Raw genomic sequence first — 15,782 nt, forward strand, 5'->3', positions numbered from 1 at the left:
CCACTTGGAAACCAGCCCTCACTGGGCAGCCCTGGGCCAGGTTCACCAGACCACTCCCACAAGGTGACTTTCACATGGACTCCAGAGTCATTGAACACAAAATAGATTGTGTTTTCGATCCCTAAAGAGGCAGGATATCATTCAGCCACTTGGAGAAAAAAGTTCAGTCCAAAGATAATTGGGAACCAAATTTGTCTGCCTTTCATCTAAGACTCAAGGTTGGGGAAAGTTCCGGAAGGTGGGGCTGGTTTATGACCTCAAACAGGTTGTTAATTACTTTGAATGGGTCTCACGTGACGCTTTTAAGCACACAGGTTTTGCCCAGGGAGGATGGAGTGGGCAGTTTGGTTTGTGACTGGAGCAGGACGTGAGTGAGGTTTTATAGATCCATATGCCTGGCTGTTCTGAGCTTATCATCCCTGTGCTGATGAGGCCATTGCGGTCAGTGGGGCAGAGTGGGTGAGTGTGCTGAGACCCAAAGAGTGTGGGATTTCTTGCTTCTGTTTGTTTTTCTATAACTCAAGCATTGAGGTGTGGTGTAGTAGGGGCAGTGATTTCTTCCTCGGGGTGCATTCACCCCAAGTGTCACTTTTTCAACAATTTATTCAAGGTGGGTGGTTGTATAACTTGTCATTCAAACCAGGACACACTGTTAATAGTTATACTGGGACAACAGGTGCAAATAAGGATTTTTTTGGGCAAACAAAATTGTGTAGTCATCCTCGGTAATTGTGGAAACATGGTTGAGAAAAGATGTTAGAGGAAGTTGTAGGAAAGCAAGAAATGAGAGACATACAGAGAGGGGAGTTGGAGGGTGAAGCTGGCTTCTTCCCCAAGCCTGTACTTCCTGATGAACTTGGCCCCCCTCTGCTCTAAGCGGCACCTTGCTCGCCTCTACTTGGCTGAACACTTGGGGAGTGTTGTCTGAAAAGGTATAATCATGATATTCATAATGGCTTTTTTTGAAAATTTTTTTGAGATGGAGTTTTGCTCTGTTGCCTAGGCTGGAGTACAGTGGCACGATCTCAGCTCACTACAACATTTGCCTCCCAGGTTCAAGCAATTCTCTTGCCTTAGCCTCCGGAGTAGCTGGAATTACAGGCATGCATTAGCATGCCCGGCTAATTTAGTATTTTCAGTAGAGATGGGATTTCACCATGTTGGGTAGGTTGGTCACGAACTCCTGACCTTAAGTGATCCACCCACCTCGGCTTCCCAAAGTGCTGGAATTACAGGCTTAAGCCACTATGCCTGGCTCATAATGGCTTTTTTTATTTTTATTTTTATTTTAAATTTTACTTTAAGTGCTGGGATACAAGTGGGGAATGTGCAGGTCTGTTACATGGGTATACATGTGCCATGGTGGTTTGCTGCACCTATCAACCCGTCATCTAGGTTTTAAGCCCCGCATGCATTAGGTTTTTGTCCTAATGCTCTCCCTCCCCTTGCCCCTCACCCCACAACAGGCCCCGGTGTGTGATGTTCCCCTGCCTGTGTCCATGTGTTCTGATTGTTCAACTCCCACTTACGAGTGAGAACATGTGGTGTTTGGTTTTCTGTTCCTGTGTTAGTTTGCTGAGAATGATGGTTTCCAGCTTCATCCATGTCCCTGCAAAAGACATGATCTCATTCTTTTTTATGGCCACATAGTATTCCATGGTGTAATGTGCCACATTTTCTTTAGCCAGTCTATCATTGATGGGCATTTGGGTTGGTTCCAAGTCTTTGCTATTGTAAATAGTGCTGTAATAAACATACATGTGCATGTGTCTTTATAGTAGAATGATTTATAATCCTGTGGATATATACCCAGTAATGGAATTGCTAGGTCAAATGGTATTTCTGGTTCTAGATCCTTGAGGAATCACCACACTGTCTTCCACAATGGTTGAACTAATTTACACTCCCACCAACAGTGTAAAGCGTTCCTATTTCTCAACATCCTCACTGGCACCTATTGTTTCCTGACTTTTTAATAATCGCCATTCTGGCTGAGTCTCGCTCTGTTGCCCAGGCTGGAGTGCAGTGGCACGATCTCCATTTACTGCAACCTCTGTCTCCTGGGTTCAAGTGATTTTCCTGCCTCAGCCTCCCGAGTAGCTGGGACTGCAGGTGTGCACCACCACACCTGGCTAATTTTTGTATTTTTAATAGAGATGGGGTTTCACTATGTTGGCCAGGCTGGTATTGAACTCTTGATCTTAAGTGATCTGCCCGCCTCAGCTTCCCAAAGTGCTGGGATTACAGGCTTGAGCTACCCTGCCCAGCCTATAATGGCTTTTTAACTTTTTAATTGATATGTAATAATACAGCTATAGTAAAGAAAATCTACATATGTGTACACCTGTGTTCACCATAGCTTTTAAGCTTTTAAATTGATATATAATAATACATTTACATATGTATATGCCTGTGTAATCACTAGCTAGATGAAGATTTAGAATGTCTTTCTGGCTGGAATATTTTAACTTTTTTCATCCTTCTGGGAAAAGATTTGTTTTGTTGTGTTTCCTTCAGCCTCCAAATCATGCTGCATTAATTTCCTATGGCTGCTGTGACAATGACCACAAACTCAGTGGGTTAAAACAACACAAATTTGTTATCTGACAGTTCTGGAGGTCAGAAATCTGAAACAGTTCCCCCTGAGCTATAATCCGAGAGTCAGCAGGGCTGTGTTCTTTGTGGAGCATCTAGGAGAGAATCCATTTTCTTGCCTTTCCCGGCTTCTAGAGGCTGCCTGCATTCCTTGGCTTGTGTCTCCTTCCCTCTACAACGCCAGCACTGCCCAGTTGATTCTTTATGATGCTGCATCACTTTGAACTCACTGTTCTGCCTGCCTCTTTCACATTTATGGACCATTGTGATATAGACACTGGATCCTTCCCCTGGGTAGTCCAGAAAAGTTCCTCCCACCTCAAGGTCAGCTGATTAATAACCTTAATTTCCATCTATATTCTTTTGTTTTGTTTTTGAGGTGGAGTTTTGCTCTTGTCGCCCAGGCTGGAGTGCAATGGCACCATCTCGGCTCACTGCAACCTCTACCTCCTGGGTTCAAGTGATTCTCCTGCCTCATCCTCCCAGGTAGCTGGGATTAAAGGTGCCCGCAACCATGCCTGGCTAATTTTTGTGTTTTTAGTAGAGATGGGGTTTCACCATGTTGGCCAGGCTGGTCTCGAACTCCTGACCTCAGGTGATCCACCTGCCTTGGCGTCCCAAACTGCTCGGATTACAAGTGTGAGCCACAGGGCCCGGCCCCATCTGTATTCTTAATTCTCCCTTGCCATGAAACAAAATATATTTATAGATTCTGGGGATTAGGATGTAGACATCTTTGGGGACATAATTCTGGCTGCTACACATGCTACATTATCTGTGCACTAATTAAAAACCCACCTCTACTCATTATGTTTTTGCTGTTGAATAGTCCATATTTTTGTATGGAGAGGGTGTTTGGAGGAGAGAACTTACATGTATTGAACACCTAATGTGTGCCGCTATAGTAAAGCTGCTATGAATGTTCTTGTTCAAGTCTTCTTGTGGTCACGTGTGTTCATTTCCTCTGGGATGCTGGCCTTGGAGTGGAATTGCTGAGTCATAGGCTGGGTGCATATTTGCTTGGTTATGTAGAGTCCAAGGGGGAAAGATCCCCTTGGCTCTTTGAAGTTTTGCTGAAAAATCAACTTGCAAAAGCAGATTAGAAAAAAGGCATGCAAATTTATTTAATGTGTATACACAGGAAACTTCACAATGAAGATCCAAAGGAACAGGGGAATTGTCCATTTTTATGCTTAGGTTCAATAAAATATAGATAGCCATGTAGAAATACAATATGACTTGACAAAAAGGATATGATCGAATTATAATAGACTGAGTGGGGACCCCTAGCAAGGCCCGTCTAGATTCACCTTGGCCTCCCTGAGAATCGTTCCTTCCTTCTGGGTGTGGGGCAGGATCTTCTCTAGAATGGGAGTCTTATGACCTACTGTCAAACAAGGTAGGTCAGAGAATTTCTTTATGCCAGTTTTTACACAGAAAGGTGGAGGGAAAGTTAGATTAACATTTTTAGGGTTATGGCTGGGTTTGGGGAAAAGACCTGCTTGAGGAAGAGGGATTCTAGTTTCTCTGGCTAGCCTTGGCTGAGAATGAGGCTGAGAGACAGAAGGGCAGGAGAAGGTCAGAAAAAACTTTTGCTTCTGAGGCCTTTATTTTGGGATGTTATTTTCTGAGCCCCAATAGTCAGAAACTGCAAATTGCCTCTTGATAATGGTCCTCCTAGAAGGAGGGGAGATGGGGAATGTAGGGAGAGGGGGAGAGGGGCCAACAGGGAGAAGAGCTTCAGGGACTTCAAGCATATAAATTCACCAGGGATCATAGGCATGTGGCATCCGGCAGGTTATGAAAATGCATGAAAAGAGGTGAAATTGAAGCCCGGTTCCTCAGCTCTGGCCACTTTTATCACATGGAATAGGAACCCAGTGTTGTCAGATATTCTAATTTTTTTATATTATTATTTTTTGGGACAGAGTCTTGCTCTGTTACCCAGGTTGGAGTGCAATGGCACCATCTCGGCTCACTGCAGCCTTGACCTCCTGGGCTCATGTGATCCTCCCACCTCAGCCTCTGGAATAGCTGGGACCACAGGTGTGCATCACTACACCAGGCTAATTTTGTTTACTTATTTATTTATTTTTTTGTAGAAGTGAAGGTCTCACTGTGTTTCTCAGGCTTGTCTCAAACTCCTGGGCTCAAGCAATCCTCCTGCCTTAGCCTCCCAAAGTCCTGGGATTACAGGCATGAGCCACCACAGCTGGCCTAGATTTTCTGATTTTAATCTACTGATTTTCTTTCTTTTTTCTTTTTTTTTGAGACGGAGGCTCACTCTGTCGCCTAGGCTGGAGTGCAGTGGTGTGATCTTGGCTCATTGCAACCTCCGCCCCTTGGGTTCAAGCAATTCTCCTGCCTCAGCCTCCCAAGTAGCTGGGATTACAGGTGTCTGCCACTGCGTCTGGCTAATTTTTTTTGGTATTTTTAGTAGAGATGGGGTTTCACCATCTTGGACAGACTGGTCTTGAACTCCTGACCTTGTGATCCACCTGCCTTGGCCTCACAAAGTGCTGGGATTACAGGCGTGAGCCACAGCACCCAGCCTAATCTATTGATTTTCAACTTTGGCCTCCCATTGGAATAACCTGGGAGTTTGAGTTCCAATCTCAGAGATTCTGAATTCAAAGATGGCATGTGAGCTTAGCACCTGGATTTTTCAAAGCTCTTCATGTGATTCTGATATGCACACAGTGGGTGAGAACCACTGCTTTAAAGCAAACCCTTCAAACTTCAATGTTAAAATGCAAATTGTGGTTCAGAACATCTAGGGTGGGCCCCGGGATTCTTGCATTTCTGACAAGCTCCCAGTTGGTGCCAATGCTACTGGTCTGTGGACCTCACTTTGAATAGCAAGATTTAAAGAGAAGACACAAATATGGATTATACAATGGGAAATCTCCTAATTAGGAAGGAAACAAAACACTGTGTCCACTAAACAAGTCTATAGGTTGGACTTCCCTGCAGGTCATTGGTTTAATGGGTGTGTGTGTCTCTTTCTCAATCTCTCTCTCTCTTTTAGATCTCTTTTGTAGGGTTCCTGTTATGGCCAGGATACAGGGGTTTTGTGAGGTCTAAGGCAAGATCCCTCAGTTTCAGAGGCTCAGAACTGGGTTTGTCGGGAGGCGGAGATGGAACAGGAAGGTAGGCAAGCTGTCAGCCTGTTTCGGGACATGATGATCTGGAAAATGCCTCGGAACAGTCTTCCCCACACCACCCCAGGGCAATCTCACCCATAATTGGCATAACTGATTTTCCTGCAGATGAGAAGAGGCTAGACGAGGTCCAGACAGCTCCCCATCACACCCCGGCGTTAGGAGCACGCCTTTCTCCTCTTCCTTTATCGGATCAAAGTCTTCCATCAAGCTGTCTGGTTCTGTCTTATTCAATTAAACTTTTTAATCCAATTTGACCCATGCATTCATCTTCTTTGAAATCTGAGAGACGACAGCATCCGCTACAAATTGAGAGTAAATGGCCGAATTAGCTTTCAGAGAGGATCCAACGAGACTGTTTCTTCCCAGGGACCAACAGGCTCTTTGGAGCAGCTGGATCATAGAGGAACGTGGCTGGGGGCGTGGACGGAGGACAGTGGGGTTGTAATCTCCCTTCACTTTGAGACCCTTGGACAGATGGCATGGCACAGCCACTGACAGCACAGACTCTGGAGCCAGAGAGTCTGGGGTCAGATCCAACTGGGTCATGCCAGGCAAGTGCCTGAAATTCCATGCCTCGGTTTCCCCATATGTAAGATGAGGGTGATAACAACAATACCGACCTCTGAGGGCTATTGACAGGATTAAATTCATCCACACGTCTATGTAAAACACACAGAATAGCACTTGACACGTGATAGCGGCTATATGTAAGTGTTAGTTGGTACCATAATTCCTCTGGAGAGTTAGTTCAGCATTTCTGCATGGTGTGGTGGAGTCACACCACATGCCCATTTAACTTAGTGGGGGTTATACCATGCACGCTTGGGTAATATATCATCACCCAGCCAAGCAATCAAACCAAACAACCCTCCAATAGGTATTTTTTAGGTTGTTTAACTGAAGGATCGACATTCCGTTTTGCTGCTGGAGAAAAAACCTGGCTGGCAGGGGTAGTTACGAAATATTCAGAACCATGCTTACTTTATTGATGAAATAAGGGATTTTTTCAAGGTGAATTTTGGACCGTTTGGCGGGTTTGCCTGAATTATTATTATTATTAGTTTTGAGACAGGGTCTCACTCTTGCCCAGGCTGGAGTGCAGTGGTGCAGTCTCGGCTCACTACCACCTCTGCCTCCTGGGGTTAAGCAATTCACGTGCCTCAGCCTCCCAAATAGCTGGGACTACAGGTGTGTGCCACCATGCCTGGCTAATTTTTGTATTTTTAGTAGAGATGGGGTTTCACCATGTTGCCTAGACTGGTCTCGAACTCCTGAGCTCAGGCAATCCACTCACCTCCACCTCCCAAAGTGCTAGGATTACAGGCATGAGCCACCATGCCCAGCCTGAATTCTTGATTTTGCAATTTTTCTAAAGAATTTGGACTCTACCATGTCCTATTTGATCCTTGTCCAACCTGGTGAGATAGGCGAAGTGTGTTAAAATAACCAGATAGCAGAGCGTGGTAGTTCGGACTGGGAACTTGGGAGTCAGACTGCCTGGGTTCAAATCCCAACTCTGCCACTTACTCTTGGACATTCTATAGACAAATCAACCTCTATGTGTCTTCATTTTCTTATCTGTAAGTAGAGATGATGATTAGCACAATAATAAAATAATAGTACTACCTAGAGCTGTCTCAAGATTAAATGGGTTAGTACACATGAAGTGCTTGGAACAGTACCTAATACATGTTAGTCAAAAGTGATAGCAACAGTCATAAAACAACGACTAGTGCCAAGCCCTGGGCGATGCATTTGGTATGTATTACTGCATTTGAACCTGGTAAGAGCCCTTTTTGAAGAGGTGACAGGATTTGCCGAAGTCCCACAGTCACGACCTCAGCTCCGCAGCTCATGTGTGCCTTTAGCCCTTGGTGGGACCCTGCGAAAGAGTATAAACGGTGCAAACCTTTAAGGTTGTACGCCAGAACTTCAGTTTATTGAGTACCTACTGTGTGCAGGACATTTTGTTAAGTGCATTATCTCATTTAATCTTCACTGTGACTCTATGAGGTAGGTGCTCTCACTAGCCCCATTTTCTTTTCTTTCTTTCTTTCTTTCTTTTTTCTTTTTTTTTTAAGACAGAATCTCGCTCTGTCACCCAGGTTGGAGTGCAGTGGGGCTATCAGAGCTCACTGCAGCCTCTACCTCCTGGGCCCAAGAGCTACTACTGCCTCAGCCTTGTGAGTAGCTAGGAATATAGCAAATGCTACCACACCCAGCTAATTATTATTATTTTTTTTTTTTGTAGAGATGAGGTCTTGCTCTGTTGCCCAGGCTGGTCTCAAACTCCTGGACTCAAGTGGTCCTCCTGCCTCAGCCTCCCAAAGCGCTGGGATTAAAGTGCGAGCCACTGCACTTGGTCCTACTTTCATAGAGAGAAACTGAGGCACAGGGGCCTGTGTCTTTTTCATTTCTGAGGTCTTAGTACCCATGCTGGGTCGGTTGGGTGTAACTGTTTGCTGAATGAGAGGTTGACTTCAGCTTCTGGGATTCACTTGTGGTCTGTTTCATCCATCATAAGAAATGGGGAAGGGAGCAAGAGCTGAGTGGGGTTTTGAGAGGAATGCACAGTGAGCGCCCGGGGCAGAGAGCCCTCTGGAAATGCCAGCTGGGAACACTGAGATGCCTTGCCTTGCTGTCTGTGAGTGTTTATAGGGAGCTGTCTGACAAATCTAGCCCGGTAGCCACTGTGGTGACTTATGAAGCTCAACCAAAGGTGTGTGATCAACTCTGAGCACAGTTGGAGGAGGTCTGGGGTGTCTTCCCTGACCTGGGGAGGTTTGGCTTCATGTAGGGTCATGTGTGCGCATGCATGTGGGGAGGGGTACAGCAGGAGATAGTTTGTGTGGTCACAGATAAAGGTGCTTATGACCTTTGTGTGACTTTCACCTTGGCATAGGGAAGAGATTCTCTGTGAAGCATCTGTTGAGTTTAAATGTCACTCTGGTGTGGGGGGTTACGGAAAAGGCAGAATCTAAACTGGGTACAAATCTGTCCAAGTCACTTTGGGTAAGTTACTCAACCTCTCTCTGCTTCAATTTTCTCATCTACACAAGGGGAATAATATTCTCACTCTCACTATCATAATGCCTAGAACAAGTGGGTGCCCCGTAACTTGCTGCTTCCACCCCTCCGAAGTGGATTATTTCTGCAGGAATCAGGAGAACCCACATATGCCTTGGAGGCAGTCTGGGCTTGCTCATTTTCTTTTTTTTTTTGAGATGGAGTCTCTGTCACCCAGGCTGGAGTGCAGTGGCACTATCTCGGCTCACTGCAACCTCCGCCTCACGGGTACCAGCGATTCTCCTGCCTCAACCTCCTGAGTAGCTGGCATTACAGGTGCCTGCCACCATGTTTGGCTAATTGTTGTTAGTTTTTTTTTTTTTTTTTTTTGAGACGGAGTCTCACTCTCTTGCCCAGACTGGAGTGCAGTGGCATGATCTCGGCTCACTGCAATCTCTCCCTCCTGGATTCAAGCAATCCTCCTGCCTCAGCCTCCTGGGATTACAGGTGTGCACGACCACGCCCGGCTAATTTTTCTATTTTCAGTAGAGATAGGGTTACACCATGTTGGTCAGGCTGGTCTCTAACTCCTGACCTCAAGTGATCCACCCACCTCGGTCTCCCAAAGTGCCACCGTGCCCGCCTGGCTTGCTCATTTTCAAACCCTTTTAGGCCTCAGTTGCATTACCTGTAAAATGGGAATGACAGCAACTAGCCTGGTAGTGTGGTGATCACCAAAGGAAAGAATGAATGTAACATGTTTGGCCATGGTAACCATTCATGTTAGTTTTCTTTTCTTGTTCCTTTTCTCCATTCATTTCTTCGAAGCTGGGTTTCCTGACCCAGGAGAATATGGACAGGATTTGTGGGGGTGGGACTGGGAGATCTCAGAGCTTTCTATGGTACCTTTTGTATCCTTTGATAGGTTTGACTCTTGTAACAGCTCCAGGAGGTAGGGTAGGTGTCATCTCCATGTAATGAATAAGAAAAGCAAGGCCCAAAGGGATCAAGAAACTTACCAAGGAGTGTCCAGCAATGAGGGTGGAGCCGTGCCTAGACCCCAAGCCTCCTACCTCCCACCTATTGTTCTTTATATAGCAGTGGTTCTCGACTGGAAATGTCCACCCAAGGGGACATTTTGGCCATGTCTGGAGACATTTTTGGATGCCACAATTTGGGGTAGGTGTGCTACCAGCATCTAGTGGGTAGAGGACAGAGGTGCTGCTAAATGCCCTACAGTGCACCAAACAGCTCCTAAAACAAAAATTGGTCCAGCCCTAAGTGTCATTGATGCCGTGGTTGAGAGATCCTGTTCTATACTCGCTTCTTAACTTTATACTGATTATTCTAAAATAATAATGCCTGACATTTTTAAATCATTTACCACGTTCCAGCCGCTGTTTGAACATTTACACCTGTACTTGTATAAACCCGTTTCATCCTCAAACAATCTCAGAAGTAGGTCATAGACTATCCCTATTTGATAGTTGAGGAAACTGTGGTACAGAGAAGTTAAGTACCTTGTCTAAGGTCACACAGTTAGTAAGAGTTCGTATCTGAACCCAGGCAGTCTTGCTCCGGAACCCAAACCCTTAATCTCTCTATTTTGCTGATAACAGAGAAGGAAGGGAATTGGTTATGAATGAATTCAGAAATAAGCCCATCTCCTTTCTCAGAGGATCAGAAAATGTAGTGCAGGCAGTATTTGCTGTTTCGTCTGCCCAGTACTCCTCCCTTCTTCTGGGAATGCTTCATTTTTCTCCCACCTCCAGTCGCTGCCAACCTTCCTTTGTTGAACTGCGTTTGCTATTCTTCCCTATTCCATTCCCACCTGAGGATTCTTGTGGGGATTGTCAATTTCAGGTTTCACCCTCGTAGCCATAGTTGATTGGCCCAAGGGTGAGCACATGACCTCCCATTGGACCAATCAGAAGCTTTCTCTGGGATTCTTTTTGAAGGAGAGGTGGGAATGCAGCGGCAGTCTCTTTTTGTGATTGATAGTGCAGAGTGTGTGTTAGAAACAGGCCCAGAGAAGCAGGAATGCGAGAGTTAGGACAGAGACCCCAGAAAGTATTAGAATGTCCAAGTTTGGTTGTCCCCAGATACTACCCTACCTTTCCCAAGATTGATGAAAGCTTCCATTATATCCTATTTTGATACATAGTCTGTAATTTCTTCCTGTTTGATTTCGAGATCTTCTCTGTATTTAGCACGATGTGTCTGGGTGTGAATTTAATTTTTTTTATCCTGCTCAGGACTTGACTGTGACATGTTTTTCAAGGATTAGGAAAGTCTCAGCCATTTTGTCTCCAAAAACTGGTTCTTTTCAACTGTTTTCTCTAGTCTCTCCTCTTTTGTATTCCTGTTAGATTTTGAAGTATCTCATCTACCTACCTACCTACCTACTTACCTATTTATCCATCCACCTGTCACATTTCTATCTCTTTATCTCCCTGAGCAGAAGGCTCTCAAGTGAAGAGATGGATACAGAGATTGGATATAATGTCTCACTTGGCTCATTTTCTTTCACAATATTGTGGCAGCTTCTCTCTTCGTAGCTATGAGTTTTCTATAATGGAAGATTTATTGCCTTCACTTGGTGTCGACCTCAGGGCCTGGTTATGGTGGGTGGTGTGGCAGGTCATCACCTTGTGGAGGGTTTGGGATGATGGAGGACTTGGGATAATGGAGCCTCTCGAAGGCTTTGGTTGGAGATGCCATTATCCAACTTTGCTGAACACTTATACCTCCTGTTTTCTAGTGAATTGCCCCCGTATGGTTTGCTGCCTTATATGTTTGTATATATATATCCTGCCCATAATTACCTTGCAAGGTTTTTGGTTCTTCTTCTCCCTTTGGTTTCCTCCATAGTGCCTGGGTGCTGGGGGGCATTTGGAATATAGCCAGGACATGTCCTTTCCTGATCATGGGGGTTGTGGGGAGGTGGTTGATCCAGCCGGTGTGGGATTTTGAGGGGCCACTCTCCTTTTTGAGAGGCTAACCAGAACACAATTTGCAAGGTTTCCATGACATTTAGCAAACTTGAGGTTATTGGCAATCCTCGCGAAGAGCTGTTTTAGAGACTGCAGCAGGATTGCAGGGACTGAGAAGTGAAAAAGATAGAGAAAGTACAAATACATTAGGCTCCTTTCTCTGAGAAGCTTGGTTGCAAAGGGGCAGTGCATTTTGTGGTTTAAGTTGCATTTCGTTAACCGTGAATGAAGTAAACCCTTTCCACATTTTGTTAGTCATTTGGATATTCCAGATGTTGTAGTTTAAAGTAGAATGTGCAGCGAGAGCCTTACTGAGAAAGGGACATTTGAGCAAAACTTTGAAGGAAGTGAGGGAGATGATTCGGGACAAAGGAAGGATAGAGTGAGGGGAGTCAGGATCTGGGGCACACAGGGGACTCTGTTCTATATGGGAGGAGGCTCTGGGCACAAGATAGGGATCAGCTTGTTAAATTCTCACAAACACTGGACTGAGAGGAACATGGAGCTCAGAGAGTTTAATCGACTTGACTGAAATCACACAGCTAGCAGGTGATGGAGCTGGGATTTGAACCCAGTGCCATGACGATTGAGCCTTGGCTCTTTACTCCAGGAAGTGTGGGGGAGACCACTCAGTCAGTTTCACAAGAGCCCCATTCCTATCAACAGCAATGCTCATGAATGCACTCCAACTGAGAGCTGTGCTGAATGGAATTCTAAGGACAATAAGAGCAGGAGCCCAAAGGACCATTTGTGCCAATAAATTGATTTCTTTATGTCCTCATGCTGCTAGCTTACAAGAAATGAGCCAGGCCTGCTGCTGCCCAGGGAGTCCCTGGGGAGTTTTTTTGGAAGCCCCTGTTGCCAAGGCAACCCAGGATCCCTCTGGAAGTGTGTTGTCCTGCATGTGTTCCTGTCTGTCCCCTCCCAGCTGGTTGTCTGGACCTCAGCCAGCCTTTCCTGGTCACTGTCCAGCAAAAGCAGGAGGTGGGTTGCGGCAGGAGAATTCAGGGGATACCCTGCCCCCGACCCTGTGACAGATGCTCATTTCTTTATTCCAAACCCTGTCTCACCCAGACTTAAGGATGGAGTCCTTGCAGAGCCCCCCAAGGCCTGCACGATCTTATCACCCTTCTGTCACTCCAGCCCAGCCTCCTTGCTGGTCTTCATCACTCCAACCCTACTCCTACCCCAGGGCTTTTGCACTTGCTGTTCCTTCTGCTTGGAAGGCTCTGCTTCCAGATTTTGGCTAGGTGTATGTCATTACATCCTTCTACCATTTGCTGAAATACTACCTTCTCAGTCAGGACTTCACTGACTGTTTTATTCAGAATTATATCCCCATATTCCCTGTCTTTATTTCCTGCTATGTATTTTTCCTTATATATACTATAACACACAATATGGTTTGCTTTTTTTTCTTGCGTACTGTCTTGCTCCCTGTGGCAGGTAGCCTCTATCATGGCCCCTGGTAATTTCCACCTCCCGTTATTCATGCTGTTATGAAATCCCCTTTCACTGAGCAAATTGCTTCTAGCCAACAGAATATGACAACATTGATGGGAGGTCACTTCTGTGGTTAGATTTTGCCTCTGTCTTGCAAGACAACTCTCTCTGTTGCCTTCCTGGCTGGCACACTTTAATGAAGCAAGCAGCCATATGGAGAGACTCATGTGGCAAGGAATTGAGAGAGGCCTCTGGCGCATACCCAGGAAGGGACTTAGGTTCTGAGTTCAACAACCTTTGAGGAACTGAATCCTGCCAATAACCAGTGAGGTTAGAAGTGGAGCCTTCCTTTTTTGTGTGTGTGTGTGAGAAGGAGTCTTGCCCTGTCGCCCAGGCTGGAGTGCAGTGGACCAATCTCGGATCACTGCAACCTCTGCCTCCTGGGTTCAAGCGATTCTCCTGCCTCAGCCTCCTGAGTAGCTGGGATTACAGGCGTGCACCACCATGCCTGGCTAATTTTTGTATTTTTAGTAGAGAAGGGGTTTCGCCATTTTGGCCAGGTTGGTCTTGAACTCCTGACCTCGTGATCCACCCATCTCGGCCTTCCAAAGTGCTGGGATTACAGGCATGAGCCACTGTGCCCGACTGGAGCCTTCATTTTTATGGCTGCATAGGATTCCATGGAATTCATTTGCTTTATCCAGTCTATCATTGATGGGCATTTGGATTGACTCCATGTCTTTGCTATTGTGAATAATGCTGCAGTGAACGTATGTGTGCATATATCTTTATAATATAATTATTTATATTCCTTGGAGTATATACCCAGTGATGGGATTGCTGGATCAAATGGTATTTCTGCTTTTAGATCTTTGAGGAATCACCACACTGTCTTCCACAATGGCTGAACTAATTTACACTCCCACCAACAGTGTGAAAGTATTCCTTTTCTCTACAACCTCACCAGCATCTGTTGTTTCTTGACATGGATGGAGCTGAGAGCTGTTATCCTCAGCAAACTAATGCAGGAACAGAAAACCAAACAGTGCATGTTCTCACTTATGAAATGGGAGCTGAATGGTGGAAACACAAGGACACATGGTGGGAGCAACACACAGTGGGGCCCGTTGGCAGGGTATGGGGAGAAAGAGCATCAGGAAGAATAGCTAATGGATGCTGGACTTAATACCTAGGTGATGGGTTAATCTGTGCAGCAGACCAGCATAGCACATGTTTACCTATGTAACAAACCTGCACATCCTGCACATGTACTCTGGAACTTAAAATAAAAGTTGAAAAACAAAAAAAGAAGTGGTGCCTTCCCTGATCGAGCCTTCAGATGCAACCCCAGGTTCAGTTGGCACCTTGATTGTAGCTTGGGAGAGACCTGTGAGCAGAGCACCTAGCTAAGCCAGGCCCAGATCCCTGAGTCACAGAAACTACAACATAATAACTATGGGATGTTTGAAGCTGCTGAGTTTTGTGGTAATTTGTTGCATGGTGATAGATAACAAATACATTCCCCTCCTAGGATGTAAGCTCCACACTCTTGTTAAGGTTGCCAGTGATCCCAGTTGCTGAAATGCAGCAGACACTTTTCATTCTATAATCTGCTTGATCTTGCATGAAAAACCTGCCGCACCAGCTCTGGGCCCTTGGGTGTCCACCTGCCTGGCTGGCCACCTGCCTTCAGTGAGCAGGGACCTTGCTTCCTGAGAGACCAACTGATTCGTTTGGAGGAAGACTTTGAAGACATTGCTCAGTTGGGCCACTGGGGACTGTCCAAGGGAGGGGGAAAGGGAACCAGAGAAGGAAGGAGAACATGTTACCTTCCTTAAGAAAATAAAGTCCAGACCCCCTCACTGGAGAGAGTGTCTCTGTGCGGAAAGAATCAGCCTTTGCTGTCTCCAGTGCTTGTCCTTAGAGGTTCATCTTCCTCTTGGTGGCTTCTGGAGGCATTGCTGGATTCAAGGGTGACAGCCTCCCTTTAGTCTTAGATTCTATTCTTTTGTTTTGCTTTTTAAAACAATAGCTTTATTGAGGCATCAATTTATATGATTTATATGCCATAAAGTTCACCACTCTAAGTGTACAATTCAGTGATTTTTAATAAATTTACAGACCTGAAAATCATCATCACCGTTCAGTTTTAGATCATTTTCAGCATTCCAAAAAGGTTCCTCATGCCCATTTACAGTTATTCTTAGGATAATAATCCCTGCCTCATGGGGTTATTGTGAGGATTGAGGTGTATGAAAGGAATGTGGCTTGCCAGATGGCTGATAAACTGGACATGTACTCTGGTCTTTGGAGCCAAACAGATTTGGATTTGAATCAAACTCTGCCATTTTCTAGCTCTGTGGCCCTTCCGTAGCCTCTTCGCCTCTCTGTGCTTTTGTTTTCTCATTTATAAAATGAGAATAAGAGGATCTACTAGATCACAAGTAAGATGTGAGGTAAAACAAGATGACACAGTTTGCCCCCAAGTTACCTGGTCAGCGGCATCACTTGGCTCTTTAACCAAATGCAATTTCTCAGCTTCATCTCTGAATTAATAAAACTGAGGTGGGGGTCCAGGAAT

At 45.4% G+C, this 15,782-nt stretch overlaps 1 long non-coding RNA gene across 1 annotated transcript; it reads left to right on the top strand.

Annotated features, from left to right (window-relative positions):
• Nucleotides 1-338: 338 nt before the first annotated feature.
• Nucleotides 339-5,966, top strand: LOC105371116 (uncharacterized). The gene is made up of 3 exons (XR_950894.2): nucleotides 339-459; nucleotides 5,624-5,745; nucleotides 5,865-5,966. It is a non-coding gene; the product is annotated as an uncharacterized LOC105371116 (long non-coding RNA).
• Nucleotides 5,967-15,782: the final 9,816 nt, after the last annotated feature.

This window comes from Homo sapiens, chromosome 16, assembly GCF_000001405.40.
Source record: "Homo sapiens chromosome 16, GRCh38.p14 Primary Assembly".
Classification (NCBI taxonomy): Eukaryota; Metazoa; Chordata; class Mammalia; order Primates; family Hominidae; genus Homo; species Homo sapiens.